The sequence below is a fragment of the Homo sapiens genome, chromosome X (genome assembly GCF_000001405.40).
Source record: "Homo sapiens chromosome X, GRCh38.p14 Primary Assembly".
Classification (NCBI taxonomy): Eukaryota; Metazoa; Chordata; class Mammalia; order Primates; family Hominidae; genus Homo; species Homo sapiens.
In genome coordinates this window covers 151,986,049-152,001,501 of record NC_000023.11, presented here as the reverse complement: position 1 = coordinate 152,001,501, position 15,453 = coordinate 151,986,049, and the positions used below count along the sequence as shown (strand labels likewise).

The following is a 15,453-nucleotide window of genomic DNA, read 5'->3' as shown; positions in this document are numbered from 1 at the left end:
CTAACCATAAAAGGAGAAAAATGATAAATTGTGCTTTCTTAAAATCAAAAGCCCCCACAAAGAAGAATAAAGTTGGAGGTCCTATACTACTAGATTTCAAGATCTACTTTTTAATCAAGACAGTGTAGAAATGCCATAAGGATAGACACACAGATCAGTGAAACAGAATTGAGAAGCCAGAAATAGACACATGCACAGTCATTTGATTTTCGCAAAGGTTTCCAAGCAATACAAGGGGCAACAAAAAAACGTTTGAACATATGGTGCTGGAACAACTGGTTAGCTATATTGAAAAACACACACCTCCAATCTACCACACACCATAAAGATTAATTCAAGATAAATCACATACCTAAATGTAAAAACTTACAATCCTAAATCTTTTTAAGAAAAATGAAGAATGTCTTTGAGAACTGGAGGTAAGCAAAGGTTTCTTAAGCCACAGAAAGCACTAATCATAAATAAAAAACAAAGTGAACTTAAAATCAAAATTTCTGTTTCATAAGACACTTATTTCTGCTCATAATTAATAAAATGAATGGCAAATCATAGGTTGGAAGAAAGTATTCCCAACACATATCTTACAAAATACTGTTTTTCAGAATATATATATATGCGCTCTCCTGCAGCTCAGTAAGAAAAAGACAAAATAAAAACACTTTAAAAGTTGGCAAAATATGTGAACAAACCATTCACAAGAGGCCGAGCATGATGGCTCATGCCTGTAATCCCATCACTTTGGGAGGCCAAGGTAAGAGCATGGCTTGAGTTCAGGAGTTTGATACCAGTCTGGGCAACATAATGAGACCTCATTTCTACTAAAATTAAAAAAAAATTAGCCAGTCATTGTGGCATGTGCCTATAGTCCCAGCTACTTGGGGGACTGAGGTGGGAGAATTGCTTGAGCCTAGGAGGTCAAGGCAGCAGTCAGCCCTAATCATGCCACTGTACTCCAGCCTAGGTGACAGAGTGAGACCCTGTCTCAAAAAAACAAAAATTCACAAGAGAAATATATAAATGGCTAAAAACATATGAAAAAGTATTCAACATCAGTAGCTATCAGGAGAATGCAAAATTAAACCAAAAGGAAATACCTCTGCACACACATCGGAATGGCTAAAATTTTAAAAGACTAGGGCTAAACTAGTGCTATTACACATTGTTGGTTAAAACATAAAATGTTACAAGCACTTTGGGACAGGTCTAGAAGTTTCTGATAACTAAACATTTTCCTACCATATGACCCAGCCATTCTACTAAGTATTTATCCAAGAGAAATGAAAAAATAAAATGTGTTCATAAAAAGACTTGTAGAAGAATGTTCATAACAGCTTTATTCATAATAGCCAAACATTAGGAAAAAAAAAAAAGTCCTTCAATACAGGGGTCCCCATTACAGGGTACCAGTCTGTGACCTTTAAGGAACTAGGCCGCACAGCAGCAGGTGAGTGGTAGGCCAGCTAGCTTCATCTGTAATTACAGCCACTCCCTCATCACTCACATTACTGCCTGAGCTCCACCTCTCCTGTTAGATGTCAGATCAGTGGTGGCATTAGATTCTTCTTTTTTTTTCTCACTCTGTCGCCTGGGCTTGAGTGCAGTGGTATGATCTTGGCTCACTGCAACCTCCACCTCCCGGGTTCAAGCGATTCTCCTGGCTCAGCCTCCCTCGTAGCTGGGATTACAGGTGCACACCACCACACCTGGCCAATTTTTGTATTTTTAGTAGAGACAGGGTTTCAACATGTTGGCCAGGCTGGTCTTGAACTCCTGACCTCAAGTGAACTGCCCACCTTGGTCTCCCAAAGTGCTGGGGTTACAAGCATGAGCCACTGCACCTGTGGGCATTAGCTTCTTAGAGGAGTGGAACCCTGTTGTGAACTGCACGTGCAAGGAATCTAGGTTGTGCACTCCTTATGAGAATAAAATGCCTGATGATCTGAGGTGGACCAGTTTCATCCCAAAACCATTCCCCACTGTCTGTGGAAAAACTGTCTTCTATGAAACTGGTCTGAGGTGCCAAAAAGGTTGGGAACTTCTGCTTCAGCAGAAGAACAGATAAACAAAATATGGTATATTCATACAATGGAAACCACTCAGCATTAAAAAGGAAGACATTATTGATATACACAAAAACATTAATTCATCTCTCAAACTCTCAAAAATAGAGCAAAGAAGAGCAATCTGAAACTGAGTAAAAGAAGGCATAGACAAGAGAGTACATACTGTGTGTCTTCATTTATATGAAGTTCTAGAACAAGCAAAGTAATCCTTAAAAATGCTAGAACAGGCGGGGCACGGTGGCTCAAGCCAAAGTGATCCCAGCACTTTGGGAGGCCAAAGCAGGCAGATCACGAGGTCAGGAGATCAAGACCATCCTGGCTAACACGGTGAAACTCCGTCTCTACTAAAATATAAAAAATTAGCCGGGTGTGGTGGCGGGTGCCTGTAGTCCCAGCTACTCGGGAGGCTGAGGCAGGAGAATGGCATGAACCTGGGAGGCAGAGCTTGCAGTGAGCAGAGATAGCGCCACTGCACTCCAGCCTGGGCGATAGAGCAAGACTCTGTCTCAAAAAAAAAAAAAGAAAAAAGTGCTAGAACAATGGTTGCTTCCAGAGACTAGTATAGACAGAGGTATAGACAGAGTTTGACTGAGAGGATCATGAGGTAATAGTACATGGTTATGGTAACGTTCTACATCTTTCCAAGGGCATGGCTTACTCAGGTTTGGAATTTGTCACAACTCAAGGGATATACTTTTTAGATTTGTGCATTTCATTGCATGTACATTTTAAATTAAAAGAAAAAATGGCAGACAAATATTGAATTCTAGTTGATAACATATCTAACTAAATATTTATAAGGAAAATAACTTATATCTGTAATTAGTTTGAAAATACACACATAAGATTAGATATTTGATGGGGGATGGATAAGTGTGATATAGCAAATATGTAGAACAATGGTAGTATCGGCCAGGTGCGGTGTCTCACGCCTGTAATCCCAGCACATTGGGAGGCCAAGGCGGGCAGATCATGAGGTCAGGAGTTTGAGAACAGCCTAGCCAATATAGTGAAACCCCGTCTCTACTAAACATACAAAAATTAGCCAGGCGTGGTGGCACGTGCCTGTAGTCCCAGCTACTTGAGAGGCTGAGGCAGGAGAATTGCTTGAACCTGGGAGGCAGAGGTTGCAGTGAGCCGAGATCATGCCACTGCACTCCAGCCTGGGCAACAGAGCAAGATTCCATCTCAAAACAAACAAACAAACAAACAAACAATGATAGTATCTAGATAGTAGTATACAAGTGCTTACTTTGTTATGTGTGTCAACGGTTTTATAATAATATGTTGAAAAAAAAATAAATCTGTTCTTCCAAAGACAGAAAATGAGGAGAGGGAGAAACAGAAAATCAGGAGGACGGAAAATGAGAAAATGAGGAGACAAATCACTAAGATCAAATATTCCCACCGCATATATCTGATAAACAACTTATGTTTGTAATATATAAAGAATTCTTTCAGATTAAAAATAATTTTAAAAAACAGCCTGATTTTTTAAATGGTCAAAATAAATGAGTTGATGTATCTTAAAAGAAAATATACACGAATGGCCAACAAAAACATTAAAAGGTGCTCACATAACAGTATTAATCAGAAAATTGCAAATTAAAACCACAATGAGATAGCAGTATACACCATTGGAATGGCTAAAATTAAAATTTAAAAGGCTGATAATACCAAGTGCTGACAAGTACAGGGAGCAACTGAAACTCATCTACACTATTTGTGGGAATGTAAAATGACACAACCAATTTGTAAAGCAGTTTGGCAGTTTCTTATGAATTAGACATGCACTTACTATATAACCCAGCCATTTCACTATTAGATATTTACCTACAAGAATTGAAAATATATGTCCACACAAATATTTACCCAAATTTTCATTGCATATTTATGTTTGACAAAAACTAAGAATGATATGAATATCTATCAAAAAGTGAATGGATTGGCCTGGTGCGGTGGCTCACGCCTGTAATCCCAGCACTTTGGGAGGCCGAGGCGGGTAGATCACCTGAGGTCGGGAGTTCGAGACCAGCCTGACCAACATGGAGAAACCCTGTCTCTACTAAAAATACAAAATGAGCCGGGCCTAGTGGCACATGCCTGTAATCCCAGCTACTCAGGAGGCCGAGGCAGGAGAATTGCTTGAACCTAGGAGGCGGAGGTTGAGGTGAGCAGAGGTTGCGCCATTGCACTCTAGCCTGGGCAACAAGAGCGAAACTCCATCTCAAAAAAAAAAAAAAAGTGAATGGATTAACAAACTGTGTTAGATCTGTACAATGGAATACTACTCAGCACTACAAAGGAATGAAATATTCCTACACACAACATCAATCAATTTCATAGACATAATATTTAGCAAAAGAAGGCAGCCATAAAAGAGTCTATTCTATATAATTGCACTTTTGTGAATTCTGGACTAGACAAAGCTAATGCATTGTCATTGAAATTGGAGCAGTGGCGTTACATGAGACAGGAGGCAGGAGTGGGCGACTGACTTCCTAACAGCATTTAGAACTTTCTTAAGGTGATGCAAACATTCAGTATCCTGATTGTGGTGGTGTTGACAAGCTGTGCGTATTCTAAAACTGTTATGCAACTGTAGTACAATTAAACTTGGTGTATTTATTGTACATTAAAAAAATGCTTCAACGAAGTAGATTTTTAAAATAACTAATCCAGATCATGACACTTCCCTGTCATACAATGCTTCCCCCATTTCACTCATAGTAAAAGCTAGAATCCTTCCAATAGCCTTAAAGTCCCTAATGATCTGTTTCCCCTCCTCTTTCTGACCTCAACTCTTAATACTCGTTGCCTTACTTACTCAATTTTTGCTACACTTGGCCTTCTTACTTTTCCTGGAACACGCCAAGCATGCAATCACTGTGGGGACTTTGAACTGATTCTTCTCTCTGTCTGGAATGCTGTTTTTCCAGATATCCATAACGTAGCTCACCCTCCACCTCTTTTGGGTCTTTGACAAATGTTAAAGTATTACCTTCTAAATGAAGGACCATCTATTTAAAAGTGCATTGCGCGTGCATGCACACACACACACACACACACACACACACACACCTTACTCTTCTTTTCTGCCCGTTTAGCATAGCAATCTGTTGTACGTTTTGTTTACTGCTGTATTGCCGGAGCCTGCTACCATGCTTGGAACACAGCAGGCTCTCAATAAAAAATGTGTTGAATAAAGAAATAATACTGAGGCTGAGATGAGGATCTTCTTGGAGGGGGAAATGTGAGAGGGGACAATTAGCAAGCCGACCCCTCAGACGTGTTATGTGTGACACTAGTTGGGCTTCTGTATGATTACCTTGTAGCTTCAAGCAAGCTCCAAAGGCTTTTCCCATAAGCAAATTGTGTATTATTCATGGGGATGAATAGAAGAGCCTCTAATCCCCCAGAGCTGGTATATGGGGCTTGAGGGGCTATATTCTACCCTGAAGCCAATCTTTGGGGCCAATTCCTTAAAATATAGTCAGATGGCAAGTTTGAGAAAGATGATTAGCAGGGAGGATCCCTAGGTCTGAAGATGGAAAGAGACCCTTCTCGAGAAATAGTCTGGGCTTTAAGCCAAGCCTCCCAGGTTTTCCTGACCTCAGTAAATTAGTGTGCACCACTAGACCTGGCGATTCTGAGGACAGGAGTCCTTTCCAGGGCAGTGTGCTCTGATGGAGAGAAGGAAGGAGAGGTGTGGGTGATGGCACCCTGTTCAGGGAGGACAGCCTGGCTGATGGAGGAGGATAGCAGAGCTCTGGACTGGGCTTTGGATAATGGGAGGGATATTGGCAGCCTCTTCTTCTGAGAGTTGGCCTTTGCTTCACAGTTCTCACTTGCCAGGGATATGCACCTCTGAGTCTAACTTTTCAAAGTCCTATTTCACTTACTTGATGGATTGGAATAAATGGCAGTCTCCAACGGCCTTTTGCAGTTGGGTAACATCAGAAGCTCAATGCCTCCTGACTGAACAGGTCAGAGGCTGGGGGAGCAGGACACTCTGTAAGCTAGAATCTGAAGATAAGGCTTTGAATCACAGCTTGGCAACTCTGACTTGAAGCCTTGGGCAAGACACTTTCCTTCACCGACTCCCTCATCTGTAAAATGGGATGCTCAAGCCAGCATGCCAGCCCTACCCCAAGGGTAACATGAAAATCAAATGAATGTGTTCCTGGGAGGCATTTCAGTAACTTCAAAGGTTAGTACAGGTATCAGAGGCTATTGTTGTCAGGTTATTTCAGGTAGCATGCTGACCGGGGACTAGCTGGCCAACTGGAGTAACTGGGTACATTTGAAGATGGAAAGAAGAACCTTCCAGCTCACTTGACTCTGGGTCAGGTGAGTCTCTGGTGTAATTGAGACCAATTATCAACATGCAGTTTTTTCTTGAGCTATCAGCAACAGAATCTCCTTGCCCAAGCCTATTGTATCAAAACATCTAGGGCAGGGCCCAGGAATCAGCCTTATAACAAGTTCCTCAGGTGGTTCTGATGACTATGGAAGTTCAAGCACTGCTTCATATGTCTGCCCACACATGGAATTTCCCTAGCCTTTGAGCTTATTTCTTTCCAATACTTAGCTCTGCAGATGGTCTTACTCATTAAAAAGAACACTTATGTCTGGAGGAGTGGAGTGGGCCCCACCTCCACAAAGCCATCTTGAACTGTCACTCACATCATCTAGCCTATAGCTGAGGATATGCAAGCTGCATTATTAATCATAAAGAAATAGTTCGACTGATTGCTATCTAATCTGTTTACCAGGTCACAGCTCTAGTTAAAACTATTTGGAACTGCTCACCAGACATTGCGAGTCACCTGCATGATCTTGGTCATGTATCCCATTAGAATGTCACAGTTGTTAAGCGATTCCAGCCTTTGGGCTTTGCTGAGTTCCTGCTGGGTGGGAGGGGAGTTAGAGACAGAAAAACAAAGAAATGTTCTCTGTCCTTCAAATACAGTGTCGACTCAGACCTCCCACATATACAGGTTCAATGCCCATAAGGTTCGGGGAGCAGGAGGGGACAGAGATGGTGAGAAGCACTAGGTACAGTGCTTCCATGGTGCTTTTGTAGAAGGAGGATGACCAGCAATTTTGACTCATAAGGTTAGTGGAATGGAGCCAAAATAATTCTCATGTGCACCTCCTTAGCACAGGCCCTATTGGTTAGAGGTAGTTCCATGGTGTTTGCTTAGCAATCCTTTCAAGCTTCCCAGACAGCAATAATTAGGTAGAAAAAAAAATTTGTGCAAAATACATAGACATAACTAGTAATTTCCAGAAAATTAGATTTTCTGTTTTGTCTGGGCTAGGGCAATAATTAGACAAGAACGTAGTCAACATTAATTCTTATCCCAACTCCACCATTGACATGCTGGGTGACCCTAGGCAAGTTCCTTGCCCTCTCTGAGAATTACTGTCTATATTGTAACATCAACAGTTTTGGATTTTGAGCCCTTTCTGTCAGCAGTAGAATTCTGGAATTCCCTCAGTGAGCTACTGACTCAGGAGCAAGTCTGGTCCAACCTTCAGAGTCCACTTTCTAAAAATATCAAATAACCCCTATAACTTGACCTCACTATTCCCTAAAAAAGCTCACTGGGTATTTGTTTGGTTTCTTTTCTCACTCCCTAAAAGTTCTTCAAATAAAGCATGATTTTATTTGAAATTATAAAGCAGCCTGAAAAATTTGGAGATAATTTTACCCCTGGGCCTTCCTGCTACCAAAGAGTTCTTTCCATATGAGTGAGTGAGTAAGCTTTCCTTACTTCAAAGTCTGAGCCAACCTGGACATAGAAAGTAGAGCAAGCTTGTCTAACCCATGGCCCATGGGCTGTGTGTGGCCCAGGATAGCTTTGAATGCAGCCCAACACAAATTTGTAAACTTTCTTAAAACGTTATGAGATTTTTAGTGATTTGTTTTAGCTCATCATCTATCGTTAGTGTTAGTGTATTTTATGCATGGCCCAAGACAATTTTTCTTCTTCCAATGTGATCCAGGGAAGCCAAAAGATTGGACACCCCTGTTGCAGAGGATACAAAGTTTTTAGCAACCTAGTGGGACTCTAGAGAGCCAGAAGTCTAGAAAACACTTTTGAGGTTTTCAGCTTGTGCCATAATCTCAGAGCCAGACCTCAGTCCTTTCTGCCTGGTATTGTTCTCCATCCCTGGGGCCCTCCTATATGAGTGATTTCTCCTGAAGGCCAACTGCTAATTATTGACATGACAGGAAGTGCCACATGTAGGCACTTTCTTCTGAGTGAGGCCAGGTAACAAGGTGATGATCATAAATCCTGATATGATTGGTGGATTCTTCTTTGGGCTTGGTTAACTGTCAGCTTCCAAATTCCAGATTTTCAGTTGAAGAGGGAGCACAAAAATGAAGTCCTTTTTATTGTATTAGTTATGGTAAACATAAGCTACTAAAAACATAACCAGTAATAGAGCAGATTAAGGTGTGAATATACACATATGTTTACATATGAAGAATAGATATTTGTATCTCTCTTTCATGTAACATTCTCCCTGTGAATGATCCAATGCTGCATAACAAGGTCATTCTGGGACTCAGTTTCTTCCCTTCCAAGTCATTGCTCTCCCATTCCTTCTATCCCTTAAGACATGTCATCTTTTACATATTTCAAACCCAGTGGCTACCACAAAAGGGTTTCAGCCAGCAAGAATGGAGAAGAGAACATCCACTCTTTTAGGGCCCTGGCTTAGAATGAGCCCACATCACTTCTACTTCTAATTTACTGGCAAGAATCTAGTCATACATTCATACCTAACTGCAGAGTGTTGGAAAATGTAGTCACCATGAGCAGCCATGTGATCTCTAACAATTATATTATATTGCAATAAATGCCAAGTGGGTTTTGGTGGGCAATTAACAATATTCGTTACAATCCACCTACCTGTCCACCTCAATATTTGTGTGCAACCTTATTTGCACACACACACACACACAAACAGTGTTCACAAGGGAAACAACCCACAGCCTCATCCAATTACTGCAGACACCCATTCTCCAAAATCTCCAAGTGACACAATATTGGAGAATATATATTTTTTATAGGGGCTGATTTAGGGCTTAAACAATCAAGAAATTTGGCAGACCAGGTGTGTGTGTGTGTGTGTGTGTGTGTGTGTGTGTGTGTGTAAAACAGTTCTAGTGAGATATAATTTATATACCACACATTCACCACTTAAAGTTTATAATATTCTTTAATGTATTCATGGAATTGTGTTATAAAATGAGTCCATTTTATAACATTTTATTACCCCCCAAAATACTCCATACCCTTTAGCTATCACTTACCACCATTCCCTTTATCTCCTTCAGTCCTAGGCAACCACTATCTGCTTTCCATCTCTACAATTTGGCCTATTCTGGACACTTCATGTAAATGAAATCATATAATACGTGACCTTTTGTGACTGTCTTCTTTCACTTAACATATTATTTTCAAGGTTCATACATGTTGCGGCAGGAATCAGTACTTCAATGCTCTTTATCGTTGAGTAATATTCCACTGCATAGATATGTCACAGTTTGTGCATTTGTCAGTTGATGGAAACTGGGTAGTTTTGATTTCTTTAGCCATAAGTTTCTCTGAAATTGTGTAAATATGTTCATGGATTGGAAAACTCAATATTCTAATGAAGCCAACTCTCCCAAAATTGATTTATAGATTCAACACAATTCTCAAACTTCCAGCAGGCTTGAGTATGTTTGTGTGTGTATATGTGTATATATAAATTAACAAAATGATTCTAATGTTTATATGAAAATGCGGAGGTCCAAGAATAGCCAAGGCAATCTGGAAGAATGAAGTCAGAGGGATAACACTACCAGACATCAGACCTATTACAAAGCTATAATAATTAAGACCAACGTAATAACATAGACCAGGAAAATGCATATAAACATTGTCATTTGGTTTATAACAAAAAATGCCACAGCAATGGTGGATTAATTCAATATCTATTTGGGAAAAAATGAATTGACCCCCATATCACACTAGAGACATAAATAAATTCCATAAGATTACACATCTAAGTGTGACGGATAAAATGCTAAAGCTCCCAGAAAACGATACAGGAGCTCATCTTCATAGCATTGGGACAGGAAAAACATATTTAAAAGGCTATAAAAATCTCATATAATGGGAGAAGATATTTAAAATATCATCAACAAAGTCTCATATACAGAATATATAAAGAACTTTTAAAAATCGATAACAAAAATGTAGAAATCCCAGGGGAAATGTGGACAAAAGGAACTTAACAAACAAAACAAAAATATTCAAATGTTCAAAAGAAAAGATGCCCAACAACATCAGGGAAATGCAAATTATAACCACAATTACATACTGCTGCACCCCCAACAGTGTGGCTAAAATGAAAAAGCCTCACTATACTATGTGTTCATGAGGATGTAGAGCAAAAGAAACTCTCATATACTGCTGGCAGGAATGTAAATTGGTGCATCCATTTCAGAAAAGTGTTTAGCCACACTTATTAAAGCTGAAAATATGCATGCCCTTTGACCCAGCAATTCTAGTTCTTGGAATATAACTAAAAGAAATACATTCATTTACCAATATGTAAAAATTTTAAGAGCAAGCTTATTCATAATAACCCCCAAAATTTGAAACATTCTAAATGCCTAATAAAAGTAGAATGGATCTTTTAAAATATAGTATATGATGGAATATTACATAACAATAAAAAGAAGTAACTATTGATACACACTGCAACATGGAAGAACCTCAATGGACATTCTGGTTAGCAGTAACAGCTGGATGCAAAAGAATACAAACTATATATTCCATTTATATAAAAGTCAAAACAAACACAAGTATTCAATGGTGACAGAAATCAATATAATGCGGTTATTTGCTTGGGGTGTGTAATTACTGGAAGGAAGCCCAAGAGGTGTTCTGAGGAGCTGATCATGTTCAGTTTTTTGAGATGAGTACTGATTACAAGAATATGTTTATTAAGCTGTACCTCTAGGGATTATGTTCATTTCTCTCCGCCCCCCCTTTCTTTATCTCCCTCTCTGTGTGTGTGCGTGTCTTCAATAAAAAGTTAATTTAAAAAACAACACGTGTTAGTATCCCCAGGGAAGCAAGAGGTCAGGGGATAAGTGGAGGTATGGATGAATTTAAATTTACCATGAGGTGATGATTGTTGAAGCAGGGCTAAAAAATGGGTACTTGGGAGTTCGCCGTGCTATTCTCTCTACAGTTTACCCAAGTGAAAATTTCTGTAACGATTTTTAACACGAAATTTGGTAGACTTCTGGTACATTTGCTTCCAGTCAGTTTTATATCTTAGTCTGTAGACACAGCTCTTAAACTTGCTTTATTTCTTTACTTCTTTGGTTCATAATGCTCTGCACCATTTTAGGAGTCGCTCCCTGAAATAAGCTGAAAACAATGGGTTTAGGCATTAAGGCAATCCCTTAGTCTAATCTTTTTCAACAGTCTCTCTCTCTCTCTGTCTCTCTCTCTCTCCTCTCTCTCCTCTCTCTCTCTCTCGTCTTTTTTTGATTGGCTGAAAAGTTCTATTGTAACTTTGACAATGCTGGTCTTCTTTGTAGCCACTTAAAATTACTTAAGTAGTTGCCTTTCCCAAACCCAAGGATCCCACACCTTTTGACTGCGTCTATTTCCTTCCATCTCAGACTGCAGGTCAGGGAAATTCTTGTCTGAGATCACTTCTTTTTAATGCTTTTCTAAAAGCATCAAGGAACAGCCAACACAGACACTGACTCCAATCACTTTCTCTAGAGTTATAGTCTCAGTAGGCATCATACTGCATTCAAAGTTATTTTAGTTGACAGTTTTGCCATGCTATCATGCTTTTCATGCTTTGCCATGACATGAAAAGTTACCAGCTTTCAAGCCTATAATATTAATATTGTTGTCCCTGCAACCTACCTGCTGAGATGTTGTTGCAATAGTACCCTACTTGAAGATACATTTCCATTTTAGTTAGGGTAAAGGCAAACTGTTGTAACAGAAACTCACCAAAGGGATGACTGAGATAACAAAGCAGATATTTATCTCTCACTTAAGAGTTCTGATGTGAAGGAATCTGATTGGCAAGTGGCTCAGCCCCTTTGAAGTCATTTAGGAACCATGTTCCTTCCAAGTTGTTGCTTGGCTATCCATTACAACATTAGCATCATCTACATAGTTAAGTATGGGTGGTCACCATAAAAGGATTCCAGCTGGTAGGAAGGGAGAAGAGCACAAGGAGGAGACATACTGTGCTCTTAAGATTCAGGCCAGAAAGTGACATATAATTACTTCTGCTTACATTCCATTACTGATAAGATAGTCGTATGACAGTACGTAACTGCAGGAGATTCTTGGAAATGTGGTCTTGCTGGATAGCTATATGCCCAGCTACAATTTTATTTTATGGAAGAAAATGAAACTAGATTCAGCTACACAGCTAGCAGCTTTGGCCACACCAATTTCCTCTTGCTTCCTTCACACCTACAAGCTAGGCTTAACCTTTCACTTGCATTTATACCTAAAGGTCTTTATATAACTTAGAAAAAAATTTATTTAGCCTTTATCATACTTGGCCTTCCCAACAGTACTGTGAGGCAGGCAAGGTGTAAATTTTTGGCTCTAATGGAAAAAGAAATATATCAAGGCTCAAATTATCTCCCACACGAGTGGCAAGCCTGAGGTTAGTACTCCAGTCACCTAACTCCAAGCACGTGCATTTTCTTTTACTATCCTATGTTCCATCTTTCCTGCTTTCTAAGAGTCATCTGCATATAGTTCTTAGTTCAGTTCACCTCCATTGTTGCCCTGCGTACTGCTTTCACACTTACCAGGACATAACACAGCCTCACATGAACAAGACTCTCTTTATCTTGCCAGTTTGATGGTATGTGTTCCCAATGAGGATTCCTAGGCCTTGTCAGACCAAGGTGTTTTCTGTCCTTTGCATCATTTCTTTAAACAGGTTCTCAATCCCATTGTACGTCACTCACTCCCTGGCATACCCTCCCTTTCGTTCTCTTCCAGCCTATGTTCATCAGCTCCTTCAACTCTGAGTCCAACACACACTTTTGAACAACTTTCACTATGCTCCCTCAATATTCATATCCACAGATAATTTATGTGGCTGCCCTTGTGTCTCAATAGTTCTTTCTTTACACTGGAGCCAGAATGCTGTTTTAAAGTTAAGTCTGATCATGCCACTTGTATTAGTCTGCTAGGGCTGCCATAACAAAATACCTCAGACTGGGTGGCTTAAACAACAGAAATACATTGTCTCATAGTTCTGGAGGCTGGACATCACAGACAAAGGTGTAGGTAGGGTTAACTGCTCCTGAGGCCTCTCTCCTTGGCTTGTAGATGGTGTCTTCTCCCTGTGTCTTCACATGGTCTTCCTTCTGGGTGCGTCTGTGTCCTAATCACTTTTTCTTTATGAGGACACCAGTCACATTGTATAAGGGCACACTCTAATGACCTCATTTTACCTTAATTACCACTTTAAACACCCTATCTCCAAATGCAGTCACACTCAGAGGTAGTGGGGGTGAGGACTTCAACTTAAGAATTTGTAGAGGGTCCACAATTCAGCCCAAAAATCTACTCCTCTTCTGAAAAGCACTTTAATGGTCCTCCCATCTCATTCAGAGTGAAAACTAGTGTCCTTCCAACAGCTCTGAAGACATTTCAGGATCCGGCTCCTGCCACCTATCTGACCTTATGTCCTACCACTCTCCTCTTTGCCCACTCTGCTTAGTCACACTTGCCCCATTGCTATTTCTTTGACACAGTGGGCATGCGCTCACCCACCTCGGGGCCCTTGTCTTTCTCCTCCCTCTCTCTGGAATTTTTCCCCTCAGATATCCACATGGCTCATTCTCTCCATCCAATTCCCTTATCAATCATGGCATCCTAATACAAATAATGACCTGAACCCTCAGCACTATACCACCCCCTCCTCTACTTCATCTATCTTCCTAGCGTTTTCCACCTTCAAATATATAGTGTCATGGACTTATTTTCAAAGCATTTCCTCCCACAAAATGAAAGCCTCAGGAGGTCAAGGATCCTTCCTGCTTTGCTTGCTTCTGTATCCCCAAGCTTCAAAAGAATCCCTGACATACCGGAAGTGCTCAGAAAATATTTGCTGAAAGAATGAATAAGGCACACTTATTGAGAACACAACTGAGAGAGAGAGAGGAAGAAAAAAAGGGAAAGCCTCCAGAGCAATTGAAATCGTGACCACGAATCCCAAGCTCCATATCACATGCACTTTCTTCAGAGAGGGCCCCCTCAGGATTTCACTCAGAGCCCACAAACTTTAGTTTACATAAAATTCTATGAAACGTAGGTATTTAAATTCCAATCTCAAAGTAAATAAGAAGTAGCGAGAAAAAGTGGATTCATGCAAGCAGCAAGCTCAGTGATGATCATAAGAAGTGGCAGTTGACAGATTGACAGCAAAGAAAGAGAAAAAAAATCCTGTAAAAAGAGAGACACGCCAAAAAGCACATCCATCTAGGCCATTTTCCATAGGAATAAAGTGACTTTGTCTAAGTGGCAACCAAGACAACTGCTGTCATGGCCAAGGACAGGAAGCGAAGTTTACAATAAGAACCAGGAGTCATTAGGAACAGGTTACATATGTCTGGTGTGCTTCCTTTCCCTAGGGTAGAAAAATAAGCCTTATCTGGGAGATGAGTTTCCCTCATAATATGGTTTAAATAATACTTTTCAAGAGCATTGATGCTAAAAGTGGTGAACTTCCTTTCAGTACTCTTGTGTAGATCCCTCACTCCCCAGGCTGGAAAATGTGATACAAGAAGTATGGTTGTCCTCAGTGCAGTTCTCCTGCTCACTGCTTCCTGCTGAGGACTCAAAGAAATGGCATCTCGTTTCCCTGAAGGCAGAAACCAGAGCTTGCATTGTCTTCCTTGGTACCCTCTTTCCTCCAACTCACCCCGATTTGGCTGATGTTTGCCTTATAGACTTTTTTGTACTGCCTCTCCACAAGGGCCACCTAGAGAACAGCTCTCCAGTCTGCAAAGCCCTCATTTCTGTTGAAGATGCCCTGTGAACTTTCACTGGGTCTTGTTTGCCAATCAGGCAAATCGCAGCCATTCTTCAGTGACCTACTGTTAAGAAAACAGGCCTGAGAGGGGATGAGGAAACGTGGCTGAATCCCTGTGACACAGCAGGCAGCCTAGACCCTGGACAGAGTCCAAAACCAAACCAGGGAGGCCCAGGGTGGATCCAGTGAGTCAACAATCTAGGGACATGGCCAAGGTTCAGAACTACAAGGCACAATGTACAGAACCGTGATCCAAACTGCAAGCCAGAACCCAGTGACTCCA

The 15,453-nt window shown here is 40.5% G+C and overlaps 1 annotated feature.

Annotated features, from left to right (window-relative positions):
* Positions 15,234–15,453: a silencer, noted in NCBI's record as "fragment chrX:151154521-151154740 (GRCh37/hg19 assembly coordinates)". NCBI's record gives its function as "represses an EF-1alpha promoter that drives an FKBP-Casp9 reporter gene in an ReSE screen in K562 erythroleukemia cells {active_cell/tissue: K562}" and the evidence as "EXISTENCE:reporter gene assay evidence [ECO:0000049][PMID:32094911]".